This window comes from Homo sapiens, chromosome 10 (genome assembly GCF_000001405.40).
Source record: "Homo sapiens chromosome 10, GRCh38.p14 Primary Assembly".
Lineage (NCBI taxonomy): Eukaryota > Metazoa > Chordata > Mammalia > Primates > Hominidae > Homo > Homo sapiens.
In genome coordinates, this window is record NC_000010.11 from 43,067,653 (window position 1) to 43,093,956 (window position 26,304).

Below are 26,304 nucleotides of genomic sequence, written 5' to 3' on the forward strand. Positions count from 1 at the left end.
TGAGGGCCAGGCCCAGGGAGGCAGGATACCCACAGAGGTGGAAACCTTAGGCTGACTTTATCTTGGCTCCAGTGCCGGAGCTGTTGAAAACGTGGCCCCAAATGTGCACAGAAGTCAGCAGGGTGAAGGGTGAGCTGCCTTGCCTGCTCTGCCATCAACATGGAGGCCTGGAAGCTTTTTGCAGCCCTCAGGAGGGGTCCTGGAAAACAGTGCAGACACCCGTCCCGCCGGGCCTGGAAAACAAGCGAGCAATCAGCTCAGCCTGGCCCTAGAACCACCCACCCAAACTGGCCCCAAGCCACAGCACGGACGATCTGGTGTGTAGTGCTTAGATGCCAGCCTCACTCGAAGATGAGTTGCAACTGGGGCTGCAATTCCAGGAGGGCACCCACACCTTCACAGCTCAGCCCCATCTTGGGCTGAGACTAGAGCAACTCAGGCAGGATGGAGCCAGCCCCACCAGCGGCTGCTTGGTATCCAGGCCTAAACTGGGCAAAGGGCGGCTGCAGGACCCTGGGCAGGGCCCAGGACGGATGGGTGGGCAGGAGGGTGGGGGCCCATCTCTAAGCCGGAAGGAGAAGCTTCCAGACATGATTGCATCTGACCTTCTCCTAGCGTCTCCTCTCTCTGGCTCAGGGCCCACTGTGAGCTCAGCTCCGCACTCCTGGGTTTCATCCTGGGGAACTTTGTAAAGTATCCAATCTACAGAAAATTGCCAACCTCTGGAAGCCTCAGCAGGACCAATGTCCTCCATGCAGAGCCCTTCTTATCCCCTAGGACCGCAGGCCCAGGCTCCTCTGGGGGTCAGGGCGGGGCACAGCTAGGAGGGAAGGGGAGTTGCTCTGGGTAAGTAAGATGCTTCTAAGCTTCTAAATCAGGTTCCAGAGAGACCCCCACCCCTGATCCCCCACCCCCTGCTGGCCTGGAGCACTGAGGTCTTCCAAACCTTCCAGAACATTCTCAGCTGAGCACTCCCAGCCCTGGGCAAATCCCAAGGGAACCTGGAAAAGGAAGCCCCTCCCCTTGCTGGGATTATCGTACCCTTATGCTTAAAGGGCCAGAGGGAGAAGAATGTTTCTGTGCTTTTTAGAGAAACTCTCTCCACAAAACACTTCCTGATGCTTGTCTGACACCAAAAATCTATTAAAGTCATAAAGTTCTCCTGCAGAACGCTTCTCAAAAATGTATTTATCTAAAGGGCATCTGTGTTTGGTCTCCAACGCAAACGCTCCAAATGTCGGGCCCCGGGTGATTTATTTGGGCGCCTTGTTCTCTCCCTGCGAGTTGTTTTCAGCTCAAGCCCCTGGTTGCGTCGCTCCTTCCCCTGATGTTTATAGATGGCTTCCATCCGCTCAGAGCCAGGCCGGCCAGGAAGAAGGGGCTTGGAGGAGCAGGTGAGCGTGCATCAAGGGGCTGCAGAGAGTGGGGCAGCGGACAGATGCTCCCAGCAGACCCCTGCACTCCCCACCTGCTGGCTGAGCACACTCCTGGCTGTCCTCCCTGCCCAGAGGGCATTCTCCTGGCAGACATTTGAACAGCAGCTAGGAATCCTCACCAGGTCCCCAGCTGCCCTAGATGCTGGGAGTTCAGCAGTCAACGCACCTGAACCCACGCAGGCAGACGGGGAACATGAGACAGACCAGGAACAGACAACAATGAAGAGTGATGCAGGGAGTCTGGGGCCACAGACATTGCAAGGCCTTCCTCAGGCCACAGGGAAATGCAGCACAGCTAGGGCGCTAGGCTCCATGCAGCGCCAGTGCCAAGCATCTAAGCAGGGTGGGAAGAGGTGACTTCTGAGTGATGAGTAGGAGTTGGACAACAGAGGGGCTGGGAGGAGCCAGGAAGATCCTCCCAGGCAGGTGGGGGTCCAGGACAGGGAACACCTGGGAGTCTGAGGGATGGGGAGTCTGGGGCAGAGGAGAGAGGGCTGGATGCTGAGGTCCCAGCATTAGTGATCAGGCCTGGGCCTCTGGCTGCATACAGAGTCCCCTGACAGCTCTTCATCAGCCTCTTAATACGCAGTAGCTCATCAGCCCCTTTCCAAAGAGGCCCCTGAGGGCAGGGCTCTGCCAAGGCTGAGCTGTGTCTGTGCTCCTAGCCATGCCTGCTGTAGGAAGGAAGTCCTGGGGCTGGGCCTGGAGGGAAGCAGAAGACTCTCCAGATAGGGGGTGCCCAGGGTGTACCCCTGCAGTGCCGCCCGTCTCCTCAGGGCTGTGCATTTTCAAGCTGCCTGGAAGCCAGGGCCCAGAGGGAATGCTGCAAGAGCAGAGTTCCCTGGAACAATTCAACCGGCTGCTTCTCTGCTCTCCTTCCAGCAGGGAGGTGGGTGGCAGGAGCCCATCTTCCCCAGGCACCCCCAAGGAGAGGCTACGGAGATGTTTTTTAGAGCTGCATTGCTCAATAAGTATCCTGGCCACATGTGAATATTTAATTTTACATTATCTTAAATTCAATAAAATTAAACATTCAGTTCCTCAGTCACACTAGCCACATTTTAAGTGCTCAGGCAGCACAAAGTTCAACATGGTCATCGTCGCAGAACCTTCCCCTGGACAGACAGAGCAAGCAGGGAGGGGCCTCTCTGGTTTGTATGAGGGGTCCAGGCATGGCGGGAAGCCCTGGGCAGGCCTCAGCTCAGGTAGCAGCACAGGGTAGTGCAGGGGCTGGAGGGGAAGTCCTGAGGGCTCTGCCTGCAACCAGCCCCAGGGCTTCCAAAGCAACAAAGGCCTGCGGGAGAGCCGGAAGGGGTACCAAGTGCCTGGGCCCAGTGCAGTACCTGAGCAAGTACCAAGTGCCTGGACCCTCTGTAGACACAGGGGCTGGAAACCACGCACGACCTGCACCCTGCACCCCACACCCAAGGGCAAGCAGGAGGGAGGAAAGGAAGGTGGCCGGCAGGCAGCTTACAGTTCCCTCCTGTCCCTGCAGCTCACAGCAGCTCCCGAGTGTGGAGCAAGGCAGGCTCCCCTGTGCACCCACAGGCCTGGAGGGCCCTGGCAGATACACACCTTGCCAGAGCCACAGCCACCTCCATCCTGGGCCCATGGCAGCCTGCAGACACCACTGGGGCATTCAGTCACTGGCTTCCTGTTTGTCAGCATCCCAAAGCACCACAGGGTTTTTTGGCTCCAAAAGACCTCCTGGGCCAAAGTGAGCCTCTGAAGGTCCTGCGGGCAGGACACCTCTCAGAGGACGGAGGGCGCACTGCAACTTCCAGGGAGGCCAGCCAGAGGCTGCTGAGAGGATGCTCTCCGGGAAGGGTGAATGCCTGCCTGTTCCTGCTGGGGCACTGCGGGGAAGCCAAGGTTGGCTGGCCTCCCACCACCTCCCGGTGTCTCCAGGGCAGCACTGTCCCCCAGCACCATCTTCTTTGCCCAAGGTCAGCTCCCGGGGCCGCCCAGGCCTGACAACCATCACCTACATCTCTTCTGCCTTGGACCCCTGCACACATGCCTTGAGTTTGGGAGACTGTCCCCTAGATGTACGGGGAATGGAGGGACTTGGTTTTCTCCACTGCAACGTCTCTGTTTCCAAAAATGGTGCCTGGAATATAGCAAGGGCCCAGGAGATATCTGTCAAATAAATAAGTGGGCTTTTCAAGAAGGACGAAGGGCAATTGTGCAGACTGGGGGAAAGAGAGATTCTCCTACCAGTGTTGGAGCAAAAAACAAATCCTCAGTGGTCATTTTGGGTTTGGCGACTGAAGAGGAGAAATGCTGAGAACACTGGGAGCAGGCGGGGGCACACTTCCTCCCTGGAACCCCGCTGAATGGCAGCTCATGGTGGCCTTGGATGCCAGGGTTCCTCCTTCGAAGTGGCTCCTCTGTGGCCCTTCTGTAGCCCCTCCAGCTCAGACCTGGTTGTAGTTGAGAAGCCCAAGGAGAAGTTGTAAATAGGTTTTGCAATGGCAATGGTGAGCTTAATTTTTCATTGACCTTACCTCCAGCTAATAACGAATCGGGGGGCGCTCTTTCACTCACAGAAGCAAAAAGGAAAAGAAAGGGCTTCCTAGTGACGAGATAATTTGTCAGAAAGTTATGAGTGGGCACGGCAGGGCTGTATAGGAAGTGTGTATTGAACAATACGACACACTGGCTTCTAATTGCTGCTGCCTTTCTGATCAATAATACATGTTTTCAAAAAGCCTTCTGCTTGCATTTACACAATGGACTGTAACTACTGCAAAGATCCATTAAGGCCTATTTTAAAAAGCGCATTCGTAAAAAGTTGTCTAAATCTGCATTACAAGGCAGATTATGAAACTGCCTTGGGAGATGTTTTGTCTAAAAAGCATTCAGCCTGTATCTGCTGGACAGCTGACTCGAGCTTCCACTCTCCACGTTGCTTGGAGCCAGGATGCCTTCTCCAGAGGATGCACCAAGCAAGGCACCGGCAGGCCTGAGGTCCTGTCCACAGACCAGCCGGCCTCTGAGCCCCTCGGGCTGGGGCTGCCTTATGTGAGCCAATCCCCCAGGAGCCTGGGTGGCCGCAGACATTAATCAACCCACCACTCCCGAATGTGTAATTCAAGGTCAGATAAGTGGTCCTCTGCGGCAAATAGGACTCTGGGGACCCAGGTCCCTCCAGCACTGAGAAGGCTTCTGGTTGCATGGGGAGGGCTCAAAGCCTGTGGCCAAGCCAGGATGCAGAAGACAGGTGTGTGCTCTAGCAAGCCAGTCTCGTTGACCACCAGCCCCACACAGCACACAGGTGCGTGCTGTCACCTGTGCAGGTGGGAAGCCCGGACTGTTTGGGTCCAGGGCCCCCTGGCTTTCTATGCCACCCTAGCACCATCCAGTGACTGCTTGGGCCTCATGGCCTCAGCTCCTACAGCTGACAGGACAGAGGCTGATGACAGCGGCAGCTCGTGCTGATGGCCAGCGTCCCTGGGCTAAGGACTCTGTGCAGACTGACTGTCTGCATCCCCGGGGAACTTGGGGAGAAGGAGCTCTGCCTTCCCACTGAGGCACGGAGACTCTGGGTAACCCGCCAAGGACATGGGGACAAGAGACAGAGCGCAGACACACTCAGAGCCCCCTGCAGCCTTCCCACCATGCTACTGCCCCAGGCCACACCTAGACAGCCCCCTGTAGGAGAGAAAACCCTGGCAGAGGGGCAGGAAACACTGCCACTGTCTGCTGAGCCCACTGATGCATCATTGGGCTTTACCCTCAAGGCAGTGCCCATGTTATTGCTCTCATGTCACAGAGGATGACACCGAGGCCCAGAGAGGACCACAGAAGCTGCTGAGTGGTGTGGCTAGCCTGGCTCTGGTGCTGAGCGAAAAGGATGGAGATTCCTCCAAGGGAAGGGGAGGAGAAGACGGGCAGAGGGGAAAGAAGAAAGGAGGGCGAGGGAAGGAAATTCACAAGAGAACAAAGTGTGGGGACATGGAAAACTGAAGTGGGCAAAGTGATAATGATAGGTTAGTGGGAGTAGGTGGGCAGGCTGGTGGGAGGAGGTGGGCTTTCTCTGAACCCCCCAGGGTCTCTGATGGATATGTAGGCCCCTGTTGCTTTTGTTCGGGCACCCGGCTCCTAATCAGGCCCCAGGGAGGATGCAAAAGGGGTCTTCTCCCAGGCCAGGTTGAGGGCTCTTCTGCAAACACCCCTGAGGGCACCTGAGGCCCACAGGCAGGCAGGACCTGCACAGTTAGGTAAAGCCTGTCCTGCACAGCCACACCCTGCAGGCCCAGGCCAGGTGTTCTGTGAGCATGCTCATGGAAGCAGCATATTTGGCATAGGGTGGGCTGGCTGAGCAGCCCCTCTGAGTGCCCTGAGAGCTAGCTGGTGGTCACTGGCTTCCTCCTCGCAGCTGCCCTGGAGGGCACCAACAGCAAGGCCAGGGAGGCAAACCGTGGGGAGCAGTAGACCTGCCCCTCACCTCAATAGCCCGATGGGGGAGCAGAGGGCAGTGGCAGACAGATGGGAAACTGAGGCACCGACCACTTTGCTAACAGTGCACACAGCCAGCCTCAGAGTCTGTGCTTCCAACCACCATGTCACACTGCCCATGGGAGGGACCTGGACCCCTGCCCACGCCCACTCTGAGAGGCCTCGGTCAGCAGTTCCAGGAATGCCACCCAGCCTTCCAGTATCACCAGGACCGAGCTGCGCTCTTGAATGTGTTTCCCCCTACCTGCAAGTCACGAGGCACCCCCAGAGCCAGAGTTTCCTGTCACTGCACTCAGCCTCACTCCAACCATGCTTCTCAGTGCAGGCAGAGACCCCCATGTCACCTGGGTCAGAGGACACAGAGCATCCCGCCCGCCTCCCGCCAGGCAAACCTGCACAGGCATGGCCCAGATCTCTGTCCATGATGGGTTTCCCTCCTCCCTCCCTTCCCTGTGCTGCGTTTTGGTGCTTTGGGGTCAGACCTGAGGTGCTCCAGGTAATCTTCACCTGCTCAGAAGCAATGAATGACCTCCAAGTTCTCACATGCTACAGGAAGATGGTGTGAGCCGCCTGCCCACTGAGCATCTTACCCTGCACTGGGGCAGAGCCTTGAAAATACCATCTCCTCACAGTCACCAGGGAAGGACACTGTTTCAGTCCCCATTTGAGAGATGACAAAACTGAAGCTGAGGAGTAATGTATGCAATGTCACACAACTATGAATGGCAAAATTCAAACTCAGGTCTAATCACTCCAAGCAGATGCCTGCACCAGAACCTCTTGGGGAATTTTTTTTTTTTTCTTAGAGATAGCGTCTCACTGTGCTGCCCAGGCTGGTCTCGAACTCCTGGCCTCAAGTGATCTTCTTGCCTTGGCCTCCCAAAGTACTGGGATTACAGGTGTGAGCCCTTAGCCTGGCCCCTGAACTTTTTTTTTAACATGGATTTTTAGGGAGTGGGGGACCCAGGATGTGTGTCTTCATAAAAGCTGCCCTGAAGATTCTCCAAGGGGACCTGCGGGCAGGGACAGGAAGCACTGACCACACTGTGATGTGCCCTCCTCCAGCTCCCAGAGAGCCCGCGACCCTCAGCAGGGCAGTGTGGCCAGGGTGCCCGAGCCCAGGCCCAGGAAGGCCCAATGGCTACAACTTATTAAGGGCTTCCTGTTTGTCGGGCACTGGGCTCTACCCTCACATGCACCCCTCTTTCTAGTTTCACCCCTTCTTCTGAAAGGGAGATGTTTATAGCTGGGGAAACTGAGGCTCAGAGAGATGACTAAGGGGAGTCAAGAAAGAGAGGCAGAGCCCCCTGCAGGCCCTCCCCACCCCATGGACTGAGAGAAGCCAGGGCCAGGACTCCTGGGCAGCCAAAGACCGGCACGTCTGCTTTGCACTTCACCTGGCCCCCACCTCCCCTTGTGAGACCTCAGGGGGTGGCCTCGCTTCCCCTCTGCTGGGCAAGGAGCTCCTTCCTGCTGCCTGATGTTCTGGATACTGAGCCTACACCCAGGCAGGGCTGAATCTCCTTTCCCCGCAGTCCCTGAGGCCAGCAGGCTCTGGGCCTCACAACTGTCCTCTGCTGAGCGACCCTTTGGTCAGATCCCTGGGCGTGCACGTAGCAGGGAGGTATGCATCTGTGTGCGTGTGTGTCCACGTATGGGAACACAGGTGTATGCATGTATGCATGTGTACAGGGTACACCCATGTGAGGGCCCCCCAGACCTTTTTCCAAGGAGTAAATGACACCCTCTCATAGTGTCAGGTGTTCACTCAGGACCCCCAAGGGTGAGGGTGGAGCGAGAGCGTGGAAAGGCCTAAGGTAGGCTAGGCAGGAGCACAGCCCCAGATGGCCCCTTAAGATGGCCACACAGAGCCCAGCCAGACATCAATGTCAGCCAAGGGCTGGCCAGGGTGGTCCCCGGGAGGTGCAGGGGTGGGGCTATTTAAGCCTACCCACTTCTCTCTTCATTCACCTAGGAGGCAATCACAGGAGCTTGTCTGTAGCCAAAAGATGCCCCCAGCCCCTCCCTACCTATCAGGTCCCTTCCCTGGGCACAGGCCTGAGTGTGTAGCCTAGGTAGCCACTGGCACCAGAGATGGAACCTGTCTGAACCCAAGGGAGCCCCTTGTGGCCAACTCTAGCTCCATAAACTGGAAGGGTGTGGCAGGCAGCCGGAGTCCAGTGGCCCACAGTGTCTCTCCTGGGCTGGCAGGCCTGTGCCCCGGCCACCTGCCCCTCAGCAAGCCAGGTCTGGACATCACGGTTGGCTGAGTGCAAGCCAGCCTCTGTCTTGGCAGCTCCCCCTCCTGCCTGTGAGGGTGACTTCACTTTGACTTCATATCTGCAGTGATGTGCAGATCACTTATTCAGCCCTGAGCTCAGCCAGGCAAGAGGGCGGGGTTCTGCACACAGCAAGCAAGGGAGCGGCTGGCTCAAGGGTGCCCTGGGCCCAGGTTCCCTGGCTTTTCCTCCTCAAGGGCCCATGGGCTTCCCTTCTTCCATCCCTCTGCGCCTAAGTGCAGGCCAGACCTCAAAAAGCAGCCGGGGATGGGGCGAGAACAGAGGACTTCCCCACTGAGCCCACATCCAACCTCACCCAGAACCCCTTCTCAGGTCCAGTTGCTGCTCCCTATTAGGGGTAAATGTGTTTATGCGCATCATTTCCATCATTTCTTTGGGGGAAAATTGGATTCTTTCCTCCTCCTCGCTACTCGCTCTCCGACTCTGCCAGCCCATCTCCTGAGAGTTCTCCTGTGTAAGGGATGCAAGGGCCACCAGCACCAGGTCTCTGAAAGGACGCCGGAGCCAGTTTCCGGTTTCCAAGGGTTGGACCAGTGCTGGAGGGGGGAATCACAAACTGCCCTTCCAGGACCCTACCCTCTCTACTACCCCAGGATGCTGAAAAAGGCTATTCTGCCTCTCTTCCCCTGCTCAGCTCTTCCCCGCCTCCTGCCTCCGGCCCCAGCAGAGGCCGCGCTCCCACTGCGCCTCTCGCCTCTGAGAAATGGCGCAGCAAGCGCTCCGCGGAGAGCCTGGAGGCGGGGCGCCCTTCTCTGAGTCCGCGGGGTCGCACCCCGAGCCAGTCGGCCAGACCTGCATCCCGCGTAGCATCCCTGCCCTCTCTGTGCAGCGGAAAGGGCAAAAGGCAGGGACTGCAAGCGGGCGCGCACCGGGTAGGAAGAGCGGCTCTGCGTAGGTGCGCGGACCCGGGCTCCTGGGTTCCATCCCCGCCGCGCACCTCGGGGTCCGCACCCGGCTCCTGCCGGGCCCTTTTCGGCCGCACCCCGCTCCCGCACCCCGCTCCTCCCCAAGCCCCACCCGGCCCAAGCCGCGCGTCCCGCACTGAGCTCCTACACGCGCCGCGCCCCGGCCGCACCCCGCGCAGCCAGAGCAAGCACTGGAGCCCCGCCCCTTCCCGCACCCCACCCGCCTCCGGCCCCGCCTGGCCCACCCCTGGACCGCCCCCGCCCCGCCCCGCCCCTACCCGCTCCTCCGGCGCAGCCGGCGCTTACCTCGCTTCAGTCCCGCGACCGAAGCAGGGCGCGCAGCAGCGCTGAGTGCCCCGGAACGTGCGTCGCGCCCCCAGTGTCCGTCGCGTCCGCCGCGCCCCGGGCGGGGATGGGGCGGCCAGACTGAGCGCCGCACCCGCCATCCAGACCCGCCGGCCCTAGCCGCAGTCCCTCCAGCCGTGGCCCCAGCGCGCACGGGCGATGGCGAAGGCGACGTCCGGTGCCGCGGGGCTGCGTCTGCTGTTGCTGCTGCTGCTGCCGCTGCTAGGCAAAGGTGAGTTCTGCCGGCCGCCGGCTCCCGCAGGGGCCAGGGCGAAGTTGGCGCCGAGCAGCGGAGCGGGCGCGTTCAGAAGCGCCTTTCTGTTTGCCGTGGGCAGCGGGCTGTGCGGTCGCCGGCCACCCGGCCTCGGCTGGGAGCGCAGTGGCTGCGGCGGGCGGCGGGCGAAGGGCAGGACGCCTCGGGCCGGGCGCCTCGGGCCGGGGCTGGGCGGGTCTCGGGCGGGAGCGGAGCGCGGGCCGGGCCGCGGGGGTCGGTGCTCAGAACCCTAGCCATAGCCGCAGGTCTCAATCTGGCCGCGCCCTGCGCCAAAGCCGCGTCCTGGAGCAAACGGGACAGCCGTTTCGGGGCCGACCTGGCGGACGGGTCAGGGAGCCCCGAAAGCCCGCGATTCGTGCGGAGAGTTCTGTTTCGGCAGGAGACGGCTCCGTCCTGGTTTCCTTTTCCCGCTCAGCGTCCGTGCGTTCCTCCCCCAGCTCTGCCGTCCTGGCCAGCCGAGGGATTCGGAGGCTCTTTTGAAAAGATTGCTTTTCCCTCGTGCGTTTTTGCCGCCCTGTCTTTAAACACCTAAAAACCGTGGTTTCTGGGGTGGCTCCCCCCGAGGGGCCGCCGTGATAGGCGTCCCACCCGGCAGCCCTGGAGTCGTGTGGCGCTGCCTGGCAGAGATGCTGAAGATGCGGCCATAGGAGGCCCAGGGCTTGGGGTGGGGCAGGGGTTTGCGCCGCCAGCCAGCGTTGGTGCTGGGCCTGGTGAAACCTCAGGTGCCTTAGGATCCCAGCATTAGGTGTGGCCTTGCAAAGATGGTCATCGACCCCACCCAAACTCTGGCAGAGTGAGCCGCAAGGCTGTGGAATCTTTGACCCCTTGGCACGCGTTTAAGTGTCCCTCAAACTGGCCCTGACTTGATCCCCTCCAAGCGCTTGTGTATGAACCAAGTTTCCCTCTAAGAGGGAAGGAGCCCTGGCCATCCTCCCTCACTCCTTACAAAGGGCTTTCTCTCCCCACAGCCTTTGGGAACAGAAGAAGCCATGGTCAGTCACCCTGTCTCTGGCCCCAGGCCCTGCACAAACTGAGTTTCCAGGCCTGCCTGAGACTTCATTTGTGTGACCTGCGCCTCAGCTCAGCATATGCTGAGGCCAGAGCGGGTCCCCAGTCCACCTAGCGAGGGACAGGGGAGAAGCCCTTGCCTTTCTATCTTTTCTGAGTGTTAGGACTTTGGGGTCCCAGTGCTGCAGGGGGAAGACACGGGGCAGAAGCAAACAAGGCGCTCTGACGCTGTCTTGGGATTCTGGGCTGTGGCTTTGGCTTTGAGGTTGTGGGCAGGGGGCCAGGTGTGAACTGCTGCTGGTGTGCTGGGCAGAGGACTTCCCCACACCCTTCCACAGCCTTGCGTTCAGTTGGGGTGGCCAGTGAGGCTGTGGGGGCCAGGCTCTGGGGGCCGGCTTGTGGCACTCAGCAGGCATGCAGGTAGCTTTCCGTGCCCAGACCCCTGGCCCACAGACAGCTTCCCGAATCCAGAGATGGTGAGCCCCTAGCCCCTGGGATAACCCGGACACCACAGTTGGAGGCACTGGGAGTGAAGAGGCAGCCCCACTCCCTGGAGTAGACAGCTGGGGCCTTTGAAGAGGCTGCAGAGCTCTTTCCCAGGAGCCACAGCTCCGGAGGTTCGAGCCGCACTCTTGGAGCTGCCAAGGACCGCCCCAGTGAGCCCCTCGGTGCTCCCCAACCACCCCAAGGGGACAGCTCGGCCTCAAGCGCCCTCTTGCGGACGCTGCACTTTAGTGGCTGGGCCTGATGACAGGCACAGACTGGGTCTCTAGAGGATGAGGGTTCTTCCACAGCTCACACATGCACACTCACACTGGATCACCAAGACACACTCCTGCCCCTTCTCACAGCACTTGCTGCCAAGGCTGTGGACATGCACAGCGTGGTTCCTTCACACCCTGCCTCACCCACGTCCACACAGGGACCCCAGCCCCTCTCATCACTCATACACACAGGGACGCCACGTGTGTATATAGGGACACACACTCCTCATACCTGCAGGGCATAGCCTGTCAGCCCCAGGTATGCTGGAACCAGAGTGAGAGAACCTCCATCTAAAAGTTACATTCATTTAAAAGTTGCTCTTAAAGGTTTCTGGCATTTCATTGCTCAACACAGATACAGCTGTCCCCGTTGCTTGGATGAGGAAACTGAGTCTCAGCTTCTGGGGTTCCCCCCAGGTCCCAGGCTGACCCTGCACCTCAACCTCCCACAGCTCCTCAGCAAGCCTCTTGTCTCTTGTCTTCCTGGCCTGACTTCTTGGGTCCTGTTTTGCAGCAAGGAAGGACATTCCCTCTCTGCCCCTGGGCCCCGGGGCCTTCTGTTCCCAGCATGGAAGAGCTGGGCACTGTGACTTGGCAGGGCCCGGATCCAAGCTGCCAGACCACCCTCTGCAGAGGGCCTAGGCAGCCCACCCCTGCCTGAAGCACCAGGTATCAGCGCGGGCAGCTCAGGCCAGGGGTACAGCTCCCCCTGCTTCATCCTTTTCCTTCTCCCCTTTCTCTGGCCAGAGGCTTCACCAGGTTCACCTGGGCCTGGCTTGCTTCCTCCTCCACTCCAGCTCACTAACCCTGTCTGGCCTCCAGAAGCTGCCTGCAGCCCTCACTGGTGGGCTGTGCCTGCTGGGGGCCTGCAAGCAGAGAGCAAATGGGGAAGTGCATTGAGCTGATTCACTAAATTGCCTTTCTTCTGCAGAATCACTTTAGGGACAGGCTGAGGAAATCACTGTTTCCTTGGTGGTGTGAAGAAAATGGGATGCGATCACCTAGCGGGGAGCTAATAGCCTTTTAGCCAGTGGAGGAGAAAACCAATTAAAAATTATGATATCTGTTAAAATGGAACCTGGGGTGCCAAGGGGAAGGGAAGGCCCGGAAGCTGCCATCTCCCCTGAGACCTTCCCCCTCTGCAGCCTGGCCGAAGACCCTCTAGGTCCCCTCGTCTTAACTGGATAAGGCTAATACCAGCAGTAGCACCCCATGGGGGCTCACAGTGCACTGCCCCTGTGCTGTGCCTACTCACTTCATCTTTTCCAACAAGTCTGCAAGGGTCATGGTCTTGGCCCATTTCACAGGTGAGGAAACAGGTTCTCATAGCCTATGGACTCGAACCGGTAGAGAGGATGCGGGAGCTCCCCAGCCCTGGCCCTCTGGCTTGCTCCAGCCCGTTCTCTGGGCCAGTGGTGTGGGTCCAGGGTGGGGCTAAGGAGGGCTTCCAGGGAGGTTGCCCTGAGCCTGCCCACCCACTGGTGAGTCCCCCCACCTCGGGCTCCAGGTGCCCTCAGGACATCCCAGCCCAGATCCCAGAGTAATGTGTGGCACCATGCACAGACGCTGAGATACTCTCTGGGTCTCGTCAGCTTTAGTTGATGTCTGGGAGTCCTATGGGTCTGGGGAGGAGCACCAGGCATGGCTGTGCCAGCAGAAGGGCCGACTGTGTGTGCTCTGTGGATGGCAGGAAGGCATCTTGCTGCCAGTGGCGGTGCAGATGTTCGGCTGGGACACCAGGCTGTGGCCCTTGCAGCCAACATATGCCTGAGGCCCTGGCATCGGATGGAAGCTACTGCTCTGAAGACAAGGGTGCAGGGATGGGGTTTGGGCATCAGGGATGGGGGTACAGCTGTGTTTCCTCATGCAGGACAGGGCCTTCCTCCTCATTTTTCCCATCCTCCAGGACAGCCTGGGAGAAGAAAGCCAGGGAATAGGGGCAAAGCAGGGTGCAGCCCCCCATGCTCCCTGCTGCCCTCCTCCCCTCCTGCAGAGGCACTTCCTTTCCACTTCAGGAGCCCCTCCCCCAGAAGTGGGCCCCCCCCATCCCCCCTTCCTTCTTTGGAGGCTGCTTCCTGGTGCCAGGTTATGCTCCCTCCCCGTTCTCTGCTGTGCCCTCTATCTCCCCACTCCTCTGCAATTATTTTTCAGCAGAGTGACTTAATAGTAACAATAACAGTAACAATAATAGTAACAACAGCAGGCTGGGAGCACTCCTGAGGGAGCCTCGGCTCCTGCCCTGCTGCTCTAGGGCTGGGGACTCTCCAGAGCTGTCTCATGGCAGGGAGAGACCGTAGTCAAGGAGACCCTGTGTAGGGACTTCCGCATGCGTGTGTGGCAAGGGGCGGGGACTGGGCAGTGACCACCAGGCAGGGAGCACACCTCAGTCATGGTCACAGAGAAGGTGATGATGGCACCAGGGCTGTCTCTCCGTGCCCGTCTGCACCTGGGCCTGCCAGAGCCGTCTTCTGTGCCCCATGGGGTAGGGGAGCACCCCATGGCCCCTGGGAGGCTGCCAGTCAGTGGGACTATGAGGTCAAATGGGGAGGTCCCTTGGGGTCCATGACCCAGGCACTGCACCCCTTGGGGCTGGAAGGGGAGAAGGCCCCAGGCCCACCAGAGCCCCTCTGGCTCCCCCACTAGAACAGCAGCCAGGGCCGGCTCAGGGATTGAGGCGAAGCCTTGGTGCTTGATTCTTTGTCCCCTGAGGCAGGCTGTACCTCTCATAGGAGAACTTTGGAGGACGGGCCTTCTCCTGACCAAGGCTCTGGGACACTTGGCAGCCCCTGAGGTCCTGCTTTACCTCTCTGCTTTCTCCCCCCTTCTCTGAGCTCTGGGGCCAGGCCTGGGCACTTGGATTGGCGCTGAGACAATGAGGCCTGAACCTCCATGGAGCTCTGGTCCCGCAGCTGTGTGATCATGGGGGCCTCAGGGACCCCGCTCCCCTCCATTCCCCAAGCCTAGAGGCCATGAAGCCTGTGGGTCCCTGAACTGTCCACCCTGAGACTGCAGGCAGGGCAGGGCTGGGCAAGAGCAGGCAGCAAGCTGTCCTTGTTCCCACAGCTCCTCCTGGCTGGGCTCTTGGCCCCTGAAAAGCCTGGGGCAGGGAGATGGTGCCAGCAGGACCTTAAGGACAGCAGTTCAGGTCGCACCTGGCCCTGGAGGGAGCAGGTGGCCAGCTCCAAGCAAACACCTCTGTTTGCTTTTGCCTCAAGGAGTGGCTCCACAAAGTGTAGCAGCCCAGGCACCACCACAGAAAGGTCACCGCTGCACCTGGACAGGTGTGCGCCTACCTGGTGGACCAGCGGGCATAGGCTTTCCTCCCTGATATCAGGGATACCTGGAGGGCCTGGTGCTGGGGCTCTGTGCTCAGGGGAGAACCTGTGGCCCTACAGCCCCAGGTTCTAGACCCCCTCCCAGATTCGGGTGCTGCAGCTGCGCTTCCACTCCTGGCCCTTGCTCCTCTGTGCTGCTGCTCTCCATGCCCTGCAGGAGCCAGGGTTCCAAGGAAGCACCTGAGGGGCAGTGTGGCCCCAGGGCAGGAGCAGGACAGTGGCCACCAAGCTGTTTCCAGTTCCCTTGTGTGCCTGTGACTCCAGAGGATTCTCGCCCTTGTGTTCCTGAGAGGGAAAAAGGAAACATGTATTTCCTAGAATTTAAGTAATGACTGGGGAGATGTGTGCTCTGGGTGCCGGGACGAGGGTGGGTGAGCTGGAGGTGCAGCATGAGCTGGTGCAGTTCTGGAGGGAGGGAGAGGGCTCATTGGGTTTCTTCCTCATACTACTTGGCAGTGCAACTGGCACAGACCCGGCAGCTGTTGCTGGGCTAGGGGCCAGGGGCTTCCTCTTGCTCTGTTCCCCTTCCTGCTCCACCACCATTGCCTGTAGGGCGTCTGCCAGCCCCAGGAAGCCTAACACTTAGCCCAAGTGGGGCTCTGGGCCTGGCCCTCCTCACCCAGGGAAACAACGGGGCTCATGGGCGCTTGGTGACATGGGCACATTGCTCTGCCATCGTAAGGGGCCAGCCTGGCTATGGGACCCAGCACCGGTGGGCAGCCCACAGGTTGTCTCTGCAGGAGACTCCTCTGGCAGGTCACATACAGGATGCCCCACAGCACCTTGAAAACTCGTGACCCGGGAAAGCCTCAAATTGTCTTTGCTCCCCTAGCCTCCCCACCACCTGTATATGCAGGGGCATGTGAGACTGTACTTGGTGACAGGAATGCCCCCCAGTCTCAGGGGCTTAACGCCATCTACTATGTCCTTCTTGTGGCATAGCCTGGCATGGCCCTTACCCACTGGGTGGCCACACCTCCCAGCCCTTGTGCCTGGCTATGTGCACAGGAGGGCACAGAGCTTCAAGAAGCCTGAGGCTTAAGGAGCTTTGAGGCCTGGGAGGGGGCCACCGTCACTTTCCCTGTGTTCCGTGGGATCCTGTCACATGGTCGTTCTCACCCCAGGAGGCTTCAAGTACAGAGGACGCGGGGATGGGGGCACGCAGGGGTGTACCTGCACACACTTCTGCCTACCAGCTCTCCATCCCTTGTCCTGGTCCACATAGCAGGGGCTCCTGGCGGGCCCAGCAGCTGAGGGGGACAGAGGGGGAAACAGGGTAGCAAATAATTATGGTTTACTCTTTTTTAATTGTGAAATTTGTGTAACATAAGTTTAACCATTTATAAGTGAACCATTTGGTGGCATTTAGCACATTTACAGCATTGAACAGGCATTGCCTTAGTTCCAAAAAATTTGCATCACCCCAAAAGGAAACCCCATACCCATTAAACAGCTGCTTCCTGTCCCCGGGCAACCCCCAGCCTGCGTTCTGTCTCTGCGGCTTGGCCTGTCCTGGAACATTTCATCTGCATGGACTGTTGTCTGGCTTCACTCAGCATAAGGTCTTCAGGGTTCCTCTAGGCTGTGGCACACATCAGCCCCTTCCTGTGAGGGGTAAATAGTGTGCCGTCACCCATTCATCTGGGGATGGACACGTGGGTGCTTTCCACCTTTTGGCAGTTATGAAAAATGCTGCCAGGGACATTCCTGTTATAAATACCTGAGTTCGTGCTTTCAGTTCTTTTGGGTACATACCTGGACATGAAATCGCTAGGTAATTCTGTTTTATATTTTGTGGAGCCGCCAAACTGTTTTCCACAGTGGTTGAATTGTGTTACATTCCCAAGGGTTACAATCTATCCACATTCTCACCACCACGCATTATTCTCTGTTATTCTCTGGTTCATGTCTCACTCTGGCCGTGCAGCCAGTGCACAGTGCTAGCTCGTTGTGGCTTTGGTTTGCCTTTCCCCGGTGATGGCGTGCTGGGCATCTTTTCCTGTGCATGCTGGCCAGTTGCATGTCTCTTTGGAGAAGCATCTCTTCGAGCCCTCTGCCTGTTGTCTAACTAGATGGCTGTCTTGCCATACAGCTGACTTTGCTGTTGCATCTGCATCAAGAGCTGCAGAGAAGCAGCTTTATCCAGGGCCGTCACTGTCAGTGATTGAGCCCCAGGTCCCTTGTGAGGAGAGTGTGGATTCGTCTGATTCCTCACATGGGCATTGAATCACCACTGCCCTCGAGGACCTTGAGGACATTCTCGGAAGACCTGGACTCTGAGGCCACGTTGAGCACCAACATCTGGAAACCATGGTGTCACTGCTTGTGCATAAGAAGGGGCCTCTCAGGAACCGCCCTGTGAAGGATGGAGGAAGGGGAAGGTGCAAGGAGCCAGCAGACCCCCACCCCACTGACAAGACGAGACTCAGCAGCAGGGGAACCAGGGCCGCCCTCTCTCGCTCATCCTGAACCCTGACTCTAAAAATAACCAGGCTGATAATCGGATCCGCTGTAAGTTGATTATCATCATTGCCGTGGTGTGATGTCATGCTGCCAGGCCCTGGGGCAGTTTTCTCAGGACAGCGGTGGATGCACCTAGGCAGCTCTGGAGGCCAGCATGGAGCTGGGGGGCCCTGAACCGAGGGTGGCAGGCAGCCTCTGTGGGCTCCTGCAAATCTGCTTGGTGGGGGTGGAACACTGGCATCCATAGGCAGGCACTCTGTGCTCCCAAGGAGGAGTTCCTGTCCCCATTCGCAGCTAGGGACAGAGCCAGGGAAGCCAAGTGCCCAGCCCTGGCAAACAGCGGGGAAGCACAGGGGCATGGGCTGGGCCGCTCTGCCCTGCGTTTCTGCTCCTTCCTGCTGCTGAACTCTCTCCTTTCTGCTGCTGAACTCTCTCCTTTGGACTAGGCCTTTGTCTTCTTGCCTCATCGTCAGTGGCCTGGGAGGACACTTGCAGTCTTAATCCTGTTTTGGCCCCATGTCCCTCACCCCCCAGGGGCCACCTAGGCCAGAGCCTGTCCTGATTTCCATCTCGGCCACCGTCTGCCCCTCGGCCCCTGGTCAGGAGCTCATTCTGTGGATACTCCTGCATAGACATCACGTGGACTCAAAGGGCATGAGGACCTCGGCTGAGAGGAGCTTACACATCAGTGCAAACCTCTCATTTTACACAGGGAGAAATCGAGGCCCTGAGGGAGGCGTGAGTTGTCACACATGGGGGTAGTGTCAGATGAAGACTTGGCACCACTTCCCTGGGCATCCCCTTCCCTGCATGGCATCCCCAGCCTTGGGTTTGGATTCTTCTTCACCCTTGATGTTGAGGTCTTTGCTCCCAGGACCTGGATAACAGCATCCAGATGCAGGTGGTGCCCCCGCATCGGGCTGCCTGGCTGTGACCTGGGGCATCAGGATTGTCAGCTTGTCTGGCCCCAGGTCTGTGCTGGGCTGAAACCTACTGTCTCAGAGGCTCCTGGCTCTCTCCCTCTGCTCTCCACTGCTCTTAAGAGCAGACCCTCAAGCCTTTTTTGTGTCCTCTCTCCAGGGAGAGCCCAGCTTCTACTCTGCAGCCCAATGCAGAAGGGGTGGTAGCTCACGGTGCCTCGGCTTCTCTGCATGCCTGTCACTGAACAGAGAAGCCCAGGCCAGACTGCAGCTTAATTCCTAGCCTCTGTGTGGCCTCCAGCAGGGTACCTAAGCTAGTGCTGCCTCATTTTCCTCCTGTGTGAGATGGGAATCCTCATGGTCCCTACCTCTGACAGTTGTTTTGATGCAGTGGGTGATGCAGATGAAGCGCCCGGAGCAGACCTGCTCATGAGGAGCACACCGTGGATTCCTACTGGTTAATGTTGAACAGGGATGAGAAGGGGCTGGGGTAGGGCGAAAATGGGCAAGACCATCTCAGCTTGAGGAACATGAGCTGACAGATTGACTTAAATTTGCACATGGACATGATCTGAGTCACTGCCTTGCTGAGTGCATGGGGACAGTTGCCCAGGCCAGAGGCACCAGGGTCAAAGCCAGTGGTGATGCCCTGGCCCCGTTGCCCCAGGCCAGGGCCAGTGAACAATGTAATCAGCTGGGGCAGACTCTACAGCCCTGCAGCCAAGGGGGCCAGTGACCCTTACATGGTCATCCACAGGCCACTTGGGTGGCCAGTCCTGTTCAGCCAGGCCTTGCCCTAGGAAAGAAATTAATTATAACCTAATTGGCAGTTTCCTTTGCATAGAAGCCGGAAGCAACTGCCAGTGAGGCTGGTGATTAACTCTGCAGCAGCTGGGAAATTGCAGTTGGGCAGGAGCGCCCATCATCCTGGCCAGGCCGCTGCAGCTGGTCTGGGTATGGAAGTGTGGGTGGTGGCCATCGTGCAGCTTAGGGCCTGGGCCCCTCAGAGCAGAAGGCTGGGTCTGTGTGCAGAAGGTAGCCTTGGGCTGCCAGGTCCCCCAGTGCCCAGTTGCGGACCTCCTTCTCCCAAACCTCAGCCATGCCTGGACCCCTTCCCCACTCACGGCAGAAGGCTGCATGGCTTTTAGGGGTGTCAGGAGGCTCATGTCCTGGTTGCAGTTCTACCATGGGTGTGCAGCGGGAATTCTGGGCTTCTGTTTTCTGGCATGGGATGGGGTGAATGATATCTCTGTTCTACAGCAGGGGCTCAGACTGGATGTGTGAGAAGAGCCTCAGTTAAGGAGGGCCATGTTCGTGCGTGCAGGGATCGTGGTGCCTCCCAGGCCAGGGCCGGGCCCCATCTCTCCTCCTCCTCAGCTGCTCTTCCAGCTACTGGCCACCCTGCCTGGCTGGAGGTCCAAGAGGAGAGGTATCTGAGGAGATCCTGCACTCCACACCGGGTCTCCTGCCCAGCATTTTGGAAGAACCAATTCTTAAGTCTGGTACTGAGGCCGCACTGCCATGATGATAACTGGTGTCACCAGGACACCAGGGAAGGAGCTGCCCTTGGTGTTTACTGAGCGCCCGGTATATGCACTGAGCTGTCCATCATCTGCAGAGACCAGTGTTTTCTTGATGGTTTTACAGAGAGATGCTTAAACCCAGTGAACTAAGAATGGGACAGGCTGTCAGATTTTTCTCAAAGGAGGTATTGACTTGTTAGCGGGTACAATTAGGCCGAGGAACCAGGGGCTGATGCAGTGTGCTCCCGAAGAGGGGCTTCTATGGACTCCAGTTACCAGAGCCTGCCCCAGGATTTTCCTTCACACCTGCTCTTTATGCCAGGGATCAAGCAGGGTTATAAATACAACAGCGGGCAGGATGAGCCAGTGGTGGCCCTGTGGGTCTTCACAGCCCAAATTTCCTTCCATGGTTAGTGTAGGTTAAACCTGGCAAAAAGCTGCTTTCATTTGGAAGTCTCAGGATGCCAGCAAAGTGATGAGAGTGGTAGGGATAGAGGTGAGATGGGGGTGGTGCTGGTGATAGTGATGGTCATGGTGTTGGTGTTGGTGTTGGTAGTGGTGGTATTGGTGATGGTGATAGTGGAGGTCGTGATGATGGTTGTGGTGGAGGTGATGGTAATGTTGATGGTGGAAGTCATGATAGTGAGTGGTGGTTGTGGTGGTGGTGGTGGTGATGGTGAAGACGGTGGTGGTGGACGTGATAGGGATATTGATGGTGGAGCTCATAATGGTGAAGGTGGTGATGGTGGTGGAGGCAGTTGTGGTGGTGATGGTGCTGGTGGAGGCAACGGTGATGGTGGTGGTGATGGTGAAGACGGTGGTGGGAATGGTGGTGGTGGAGGCAATGGTGGTGGTGATGGTGGTGGTGGAGGCCATGGTATTAGTGAAGGTGATGGTGAAGGTGGTGGTGGAGGTCATGATGGTGAAGGTGGGGATGGTGGTGGTAGAGGCAGTGGTTGTGATGGTGGTGATGGAGGCGGTGGTGTTAGTGGAGGTGATGGTGATGGTGGTGGTGGAAGTCATGATGGTGAAGGTGGGGATGGTGGTGGTGGAGGCAGTGGTAGTAGTGGAGGTGATGGTGCTGGTGGTAGTGGTGAGGCAGTGGCGGGGAAGGTGGAGGTAATGGTAGTGGTAGAGGTGACGGTGATGTTGATGGTCGTGATGCAGCCATCTTCTGTGAGCATTTGCTTGGTGCCAGCCACTGATCTGTGAACTTCATGTGCATTAATTCCTTCTAGCTCCCAACACTCCTGTGTGGTGGGAGCTCTGAGTCTCAGTGGGTACAGAGGAGAAACTGAGATACAAATATATGTCCCTTGCTCCAGGCTCATTACCACTGCAACACACACTTTCTCTCCATCACCCAGATGGAGTCCACAGCCTTGCCTGGAATCCACAAGCTTGCCCAACCTTCTTCTTCTTCCTAAGTTCATGCCCTCATGGCCCGAGGAGCTGGCCTCCTGTCTCCAACCAGCATTCACCTCCGGCCCTGTGCTGTTGCTGCTCATCTGAACTGCCTCTACCTCCTGCTGCTTTTCCCCTCCTTTCACTCTGGCTCTGCCCCCAGCCCTCCCGTCCTGCCGGGCACTGGCTCCTGCTTGTGGCTGCAGCCCAGAGCAGTCCCTTCCCTTTAGCCTCCACTTGCCTGTCTGTGGCTGTCTCTTGGTCAGGCATTTTTTCAGAACGGGCAGCGTGGGGCAGCCCCCTTGGCCCCTCAGCCTGGGCTAGGCACTCTCCTCCATCCAGTGCTGGGCCCTTTAAACAGGTCAGGCAGCGTCCGCTCAGCAGAAGCGTGTGATGACTTCCCCAGCCGGCTGACCTCAGGGAGGGTGCACATGGGTGCCCCCAGTCAGCTCTCCTGACGTCCCTGCCGGGGTCAGGTGTCCCAGGGTCTCCAGCCTTAGGGTCTAACACATTCATCTCTCCAAAAGTAAGGATTCCTTGCCAGGGAAAGGGCTAACAAGCTGCCTGTTTTCTTGGCCAGCAGGCATCCTCCCCATGAGCCCAGGGCTATGGGTGACCAGCAAGCCATTAGCATATGCGTGTCCATCTGTCCTGCCTGGCTGGTGGGCTGCCAGGATAGCCGTTCCTTTTGCTGCCCAAGGAAGTACTCAGGACCCAGTTACTGTCACCTCTCCCAAGGCGTGCAGGTGGCGTAGGAAGTGCATGTCCGTTCTTTCTGTAGGACACACCTCAGGACCCCAGGGGACATTGTCAAGAGGCAGAACCAGGGTGCTCCTGCTGTGTACCAGGGCCGACAGCATTGTGTCGGGGAGCCCGCCCCCACATGCAAGGACACACCACACACAGGGAGGCGTGGAGCACATGTGGCCTGTCCCACCTGCTAACAGGCCGGCCATCGGGGCCCTCCTCTGGCTCATAGGCAGGGCATCTGGAGGAAGCCGTCCCTGCCAAGAGCAGGTTGAGTGTATGGGCACTGTCTGTCAGCCTCATACTCTTGTTATCATCAGACAAGAACCCTGAGAGTTAAGGGAGGCAAAGGCCAGCAAGGTCAGGACTTGGGGCAGAGATCGGGGCTGGGACAGGAGCTTGTTCAGGACAGTGGGCAGGACTCCCACAGGTGGAGAGGACAGGGATGGCCATGCACCTGGGAGCCCTGGGCCAGGCTGAGCGAGCGAGCACCAGGGCCCGGAGTGAGGGGCTGATGGCAGGGGCATGCAGGCAGCTGCACATACCAGGCTCTGTGTATGAAAGGGAAACTGGACATGTGTGAGTAGGCCCAGGCCTGGCAAATGGCTCAGAGAGACACCTGTGAACAGCTGTGTTTGGTGGCTGCCCTGGGCAGGGGTGAGGCTGAGAGCCCACTGAACCTCCTGAGTCAGAGGTGATGAGAGCCACCCCCAGGTGCAGGGAAGACACAGGGAATTTAGGAAGAGAGCAGGACGCCAGGCAGGGTGCACTTAATCGTCACTTGGAAACCAGTGTCCAGTAGTGGCTGCCCGGGAGCCTCTTGGGTTGGCACTGGGCTCGTGTGAGGAGGAGGCGTGGCAAAGGGAAGGGCTCTGTGACAGAAGGCAGTTGAGACTGGGCCGCTTCTGGGCGCTGCCTCCTCTGCTGAGGCCTCAGATGGGTCCCTGCCTTGCTCAGGGCTGTGTGCTCCATGCTAAGCCTTGTCCTCCTGGGGGCTCAGGCACAACCAGGTGACTCTCAAGCCAGGGCCACATGCGTGCACCATGGGCCCCTCCCACATCCAAAAGCAAAATTATATTCTGCAACTGTGTTGGTATAAGACAAACACAATCCAGGCCACTTTATTATTATTTATTTCTTATTATATTTATTTCATCCTTTTGATTTTAAAATGAATTAAAACAAAAACCTTTTTTGCGCACCCAGGCGCATGCAGCAGTGGTGCCGGTCAGGAGCAGAGGTTCCTCCTCTGCAGGCTCCTGGCCCCCTGGGACCCTGGCACCGAGGGCTGGCCCTAGCGGCCCAGCCCTTGTGAGCCCTCACACCTGCCTAGAGATGGCGCGCTCCCTAGCCAGTCAGGGCGCTCTCGTGCCTGGATGCTGTGGTCTCATGAGTGGACAGCAGCTGAAGTGGGAACTGCAGCAGATACTGGCCGTGCCCAGGTGTGTACCTGCCCCAGGCAGGTGACCAGGGCAGCAGGGTGATGCCAGATGGGGCCAAAAATTTCATGCTTCTGTTTGACCTTGGTTCTAGCTGAAGATTTAGCTGTGTACACATCTTTAAAACTGGGATCCCCCTATAAAAACCAGATGCACAGGCAGCCGAAGAAAGAATGGATGAATTGGGCTACATCAAAATGTAAAACTTCTGTGAACCAAGGCCACAATCAGAAGAGTGAAAACACAGCCCATGGAATGGGAGAAAAACTTGTAATTCATAGATCTGATCAGTGTTAATCCAGAATCTGTAGAGAACTCCTCACACTCAACAACAGCAACAAAAAAACCTGATTCCAAAATGAGCACAGGGGGCCAGGTGCGGTGGCTCACTCCTGTAATCCTAGCACTTGGGGAGGCTCACGCAGGCAGATCACTTGAGGTCAGGAGTTCGAAAGCAGCCTAGCCAACATGGTGAAACCTTGTCTCTACTAAAAATACAAAAAAATTAGCCAGGCGTGGTGGCAGGTGGCTGTAATCCCAGCTACTTGGGAGGCTGAGGCAGGAGAATCGCTTGAACTCAGGAGACAGAGGTTGCAGTTAGCCGAGATCGTGCCACTGCACTCCAGCCTGGGTGACAGAGTGAGACTCCATACAAAAAAAAAAAAAAACCCAACAACAACAACAAAAAAAATGAGCACAGGGCCTGGATGGACATTTCTCCGAATAAGATTTACAGATGGCCCCAAGAAGCACATGAAAAGATTCTCAGCATTGCCACTCATTAGAGAAATACAAATCAAAATCACCATGTGATACCATCTCACACCCATTTGGATGTCTACTATCAAAAAAAAAAAAAAAAAAAAAGAACCAGTGTTGGTAAGGATGTGAAGAAACTGAACCCTTGCGCACTGCTGGAAGGTAAATAGTGTAGCTGCTGTGGAGAACAGCAGGAAGGCTCCTCAAAGGTTAAACCTAGAGCTGACTTCGGCTCCAGCACCTCCACTCTGGATACATACAGGAAAGGAAGCAGGAAGCAGTCAGGATATATTTGTATGTCCCCATTTTCAGCAGCATTATTCATAGTAACCACAAAGAGGAAGTTACCCAAGTGTCCATTGACCAATGAATGGATAAGCAAAATATAATACAGACATACAATGGAATATTACTTGGCTTTAAAAAGGAAAAAAAATTTGCCACATCCTATGCCATGGTTGAACCTCGAGGGCATTATGTCACAGAAGGACAAGCACTGTATGATTCCACTTACATGAGGTCCCTGCAGTCGTCAAATTCGTGGAGACAGTAGAATGGAGGATTCCAGGAACTGGGAGAGGAGAGGAGGGGGAGTAATTGTCTCATGGGTACAGAATTTCAGTTTTACAGGATAAAAAGAGTGCTGTGGAAGGATGGTTTGCATGGCAGTGTGAATGCACTTAATGCCACTGAATTGTACACTTAAAAATTTTAAGATGATAAAGTTCATGTGTATTTTACCACAATTTAAAATAACTTTTTAAAACTAGAATCTCTCTTTATATACACCTCCAAATTTGTTATTTACAGTAGAGCCTCCCTTGATCCGTGTTTTTTCCCTAAATGCAAAGTTAGATTATAGTCCCAGGCAAAAGCAGCCTCCAGCTGGGACAGAGCCGAGGACCCAGGTTTGTGCAGCATGCTGCAGGTGGTCCTACCCGAGTGAGTCTGGCTGGCAGCTCCGGTGCCCAGGGCTCCTCAGGCACTGATAGATCATTTCCTGAGCTGAAAAGGAGTGGTTTTGTCCTCAGCCTCAGGCTTGTTTGCTCAGCACAGTGGCTGGCCCCACAAGGTTGCTGGTGCACTAGTGGGCACTGCACGTGTGCACAGGGCGCATCCACACAGCTCTATCCTGCCACTGACAGCCTGCCCGTGGCTCCAGTGCCCGTGAGACCATGTCACAGTATCTCCCCGTCCTCTTACTCCCTTCCCCTTCCCAAATTCTGACCATTTCCCAAATGTGCCCAGCCCTTTCACACTCCTGTTTATGAAACCATTGTACTGGCTCGTTGATTCATTGATTCATTCATTGGTTCATAAATTTATTCATTCAGCTCACAGAAAGTGAGTTGGCAGATGTGGCAGGAAGGTAGGCACCCTGTAAGAGTGAGGAGGAAGTGAGTTGGAGGGCAGAGGGGGCCCTGGGAGCCCTGATGAGGAGCTATGTTTTATTCTGCAAGCAGCGGACAGTTAACACAGGGCTCCACAGAGGGTGCCATGATTCAGTGGACCCTGGCTCCTCTGTGCGAGATTGCCTGTCCTGCCCAGCATGTGGTCCAGGGTTGGACAGGGGTGGCAGAGGGGACTTGGGAGGTGGGGTGAGGGGTGAAAGAGAAAGGGATCTGGGGACTGAGGTGTGTGACCTGAGCAGTGAGGTGGGGCCATACCGTGATGAGATGGGGAAGAGTTGGGGACAATTTGGGGTGAGGAGGGGCCAAACTGAGGCAAAGGAGTAGAGAGAGCAAGGCATGGAGATGCCCAGGCTGCTGATCAGCATGCTGCACACCAGCATAGAGACAGGATTAACAGCCCAGGGCCTGGATATGGCTGGTGAGTGAGCCACTGCCACCATCTGGAGGACAGGGTGCAGAGGAGGAAACCAGCCGAGGGGGTGAGCAGCCTCGGTAGCATCCCAGCGACGCTGGACAGCACCAAAGACAGAGGAGGTCCTGGGAGCAGCTGGGAGAAAGTGGGTTACCCAGGAGGGGCCGGCCTGAGCATGGGCCCTCAGCAGCAGCAGTGAGGCTGAAAGACGGGAGCCAGACCTTATGTAGAGTGGAGGAAAATAGCTGTCCACATGGAATTCTCCACCCAGCAAAAATGGGCCTTCCATGAATGACGTCAAAAAATGAGGCAAGAAGAAGGCCAGGCGCAGGCTCCTGCTGGTGGGGGTGGGACACAGTGGCAGGTGGGGAGGCGGGAGGAGCAGCAGTGTGGCCAA

The 26,304-nt window shown here is 57.4% G+C and overlaps 1 protein-coding gene across 40 annotated transcripts in view, besides 25 other annotated features; it reads left to right on the forward strand.

The window, feature by feature from the left end:
* Nucleotides 5,262–6,019: an enhancer, noted in NCBI's record as "D15 750 bp fragment". NCBI's record gives the evidence for it as "EXISTENCE:reporter gene assay evidence [ECO:0000049][PMID:11032856]".
* Nucleotides 5,262–9,639: a biological region, named in NCBI's record as "RET 5' regulatory region". NCBI's record gives its function as "regulatory_interactions: MCS+9.7 | RET".
* Nucleotides 5,728–6,019: an enhancer, noted in NCBI's record as "280 bp fragment". NCBI's record gives the evidence for it as "EXISTENCE:reporter gene assay evidence [ECO:0000049][PMID:12668617]".
* Nucleotides 5,979–6,018: a protein binding site, noted in NCBI's record as "Site A". NCBI's record gives its function as "promote enhancer activity" and the evidence as "EXISTENCE:protein binding evidence [ECO:0000024][PMID:11032856]".
* Nucleotides 6,230–6,391: an enhancer, noted in NCBI's record as "RARE (retinoic acid response element)". NCBI's record gives the evidence for it as "EXISTENCE:reporter gene assay evidence [ECO:0000049][PMID:20952403]".
* Nucleotides 6,230–6,391: a protein binding site, noted in NCBI's record as "RARE (retinoic acid response element); contains two GGGTCA half sites". NCBI's record gives its function as "regulates histone modifications" and the evidence as "EXISTENCE:chromatin immunoprecipitation evidence [ECO:0000226][PMID:20952403]".
* Nucleotides 8,474–8,740: an enhancer, noted in NCBI's record as "D2 fragment (-932 to -666)". NCBI's record gives the evidence for it as "EXISTENCE:reporter gene assay evidence [ECO:0000049][PMID:21677782]".
* Nucleotides 8,514–8,568: a protein binding site, noted in NCBI's record as "D2A probe". NCBI's record gives its function as "promotes enhancer activity; synergizes with Nkx2-1" and the evidence as "EXISTENCE:protein binding evidence [ECO:0000024][PMID:21677782]".
* Nucleotides 8,606–9,463: an enhancer, noted in NCBI's record as "H3K4me1 hESC enhancer chr10:43571706-43572563 (GRCh37/hg19 assembly coordinates)". NCBI's record gives its function as "activates a minimal SCP1, AML or CMV promoter by ChIP-STARR-seq in primed H9 embryonic stem cells {active_cell/tissue: H9 hESC(primed)}" and the evidence as "EXISTENCE:reporter gene assay evidence [ECO:0000049][PMID:30033119]".
* Nucleotides 8,956–9,639: a promoter, noted in NCBI's record as "D1 fragment (-453 to +227)". NCBI's record gives the evidence for it as "EXISTENCE:reporter gene assay evidence [ECO:0000049][PMID:11054558]".
* Nucleotides 9,341–9,378: a protein binding site. NCBI's record gives its function as "blocks association of Sp1/Sp3 and represses promoter activity" and the evidence as "EXISTENCE:protein binding evidence [ECO:0000024][PMID:12406571]".
* Nucleotides 9,341–9,639: a promoter, noted in NCBI's record as "D8 fragment (-70 to +227)". NCBI's record gives its function as "core promoter" and the evidence as "EXISTENCE:reporter gene assay evidence [ECO:0000049][PMID:11054558]".
* Nucleotides 9,352–9,380: a protein binding site, noted in NCBI's record as "-59 to -31". NCBI's record gives the evidence for it as "EXISTENCE:nuclease protection assay evidence [ECO:0001106][PMID:11054558]" and "EXISTENCE:protein binding evidence [ECO:0000024][PMID:11054558, PMID:12406571]".
* Nucleotides 9,399–9,426: a protein binding site. NCBI's record gives its function as "positively regulates promoter activity" and the evidence as "EXISTENCE:protein binding evidence [ECO:0000024][PMID:15548547]".
* Nucleotides 9,417–26,304, forward strand: part of RET (ret proto-oncogene) — a 53,283-nt gene continuing 36,395 nt past the window's right edge. For all 40 annotated transcript variants that reach the window (NM_020630.7, NM_020975.6, NM_001406743.1 and 37 more), the window contains exon 1: nt 9,417–9,679. In NM_020630.7, coding sequence (NP_065681.1) covers nt 9,607–9,679 — 73 coding nt within the window. In that variant the 5' untranslated portion in view covers nt 9,417–9,606. The remainder of the gene's footprint in view (nt 9,680–26,304) is intronic.
* Nucleotides 9,772–10,762: an enhancer, noted in NCBI's record as "H3K27ac-H3K4me1 hESC enhancer chr10:43572872-43573862 (GRCh37/hg19 assembly coordinates)". NCBI's record gives its function as "activates a minimal SCP1, AML or CMV promoter by ChIP-STARR-seq in naive H9 embryonic stem cells {active_cell/tissue: H9 hESC(naive)}" and the evidence as "EXISTENCE:reporter gene assay evidence [ECO:0000049][PMID:30033119]".
* Nucleotides 17,056–17,556: an enhancer, noted in NCBI's record as "H3K4me1 hESC enhancer chr10:43580156-43580656 (GRCh37/hg19 assembly coordinates)". NCBI's record gives its function as "activates a minimal SCP1, AML or CMV promoter by ChIP-STARR-seq in naive H9 embryonic stem cells {active_cell/tissue: H9 hESC(naive)}" and the evidence as "EXISTENCE:reporter gene assay evidence [ECO:0000049][PMID:30033119]".
* Nucleotides 18,712–19,611: an enhancer, noted in NCBI's record as "MCS+9.7 enhancer construct". NCBI's record gives its function as "enhancer in excretory system and central and peripheral nervous systems" and the evidence as "EXISTENCE:reporter gene assay evidence [ECO:0000049][PMID:15829955, PMID:16269442]" and "EXISTENCE:transgenic organism evidence [ECO:0001131][PMID:16269442, PMID:16556802]".
* Nucleotides 18,712–19,788: an enhancer, noted in NCBI's record as "VISTA enhancer hs2326". NCBI's record gives its function as "enhancer in: midbrain (mesencephalon)[3/4] | dorsal root ganglion[3/4] | other[3/4]" and the evidence as "EXISTENCE:transgenic organism evidence [ECO:0001131][PMID:17130149]".
* Nucleotides 18,766–19,066: an enhancer, noted in NCBI's record as "Enh1 amplicon". NCBI's record gives the evidence for it as "EXISTENCE:reporter gene assay evidence [ECO:0000049][PMID:20977903]".
* Nucleotides 18,934–19,184: a conserved region, noted in NCBI's record as "conserved region; MCS+9.7, 250 bp reported range in Supplemental Table 1, PMID:15829955". NCBI's record gives the evidence for it as "COORDINATES:sequence alignment evidence [ECO:0000200][PMID:15829955]".
* Nucleotides 18,953–18,958: a protein binding site, noted in NCBI's record as "SOX10-BS2; assayed by deletion in functional assay, binding inferred from ChIP analysis". NCBI's record gives its function as "promotes enhancer activity" and the evidence as "EXISTENCE:chromatin immunoprecipitation evidence [ECO:0000226][PMID:20598273]".
* Nucleotides 18,981–19,098: an enhancer, noted in NCBI's record as "IB3 construct". NCBI's record gives the evidence for it as "EXISTENCE:reporter gene assay evidence [ECO:0000049][PMID:24794774]".
* Nucleotides 19,007–19,060: a protein binding site, noted in NCBI's record as "IB3-1 probe". NCBI's record gives the evidence for it as "EXISTENCE:protein binding evidence [ECO:0000024][PMID:24794774]".
* Nucleotides 19,071–19,540: an enhancer, noted in NCBI's record as "Enh2 amplicon". NCBI's record gives the evidence for it as "EXISTENCE:reporter gene assay evidence [ECO:0000049][PMID:20977903]".
* Nucleotides 19,159–19,188: a protein binding site. NCBI's record gives its function as "promotes enhancer activity" and the evidence as "EXISTENCE:protein binding evidence [ECO:0000024][PMID:20977903]".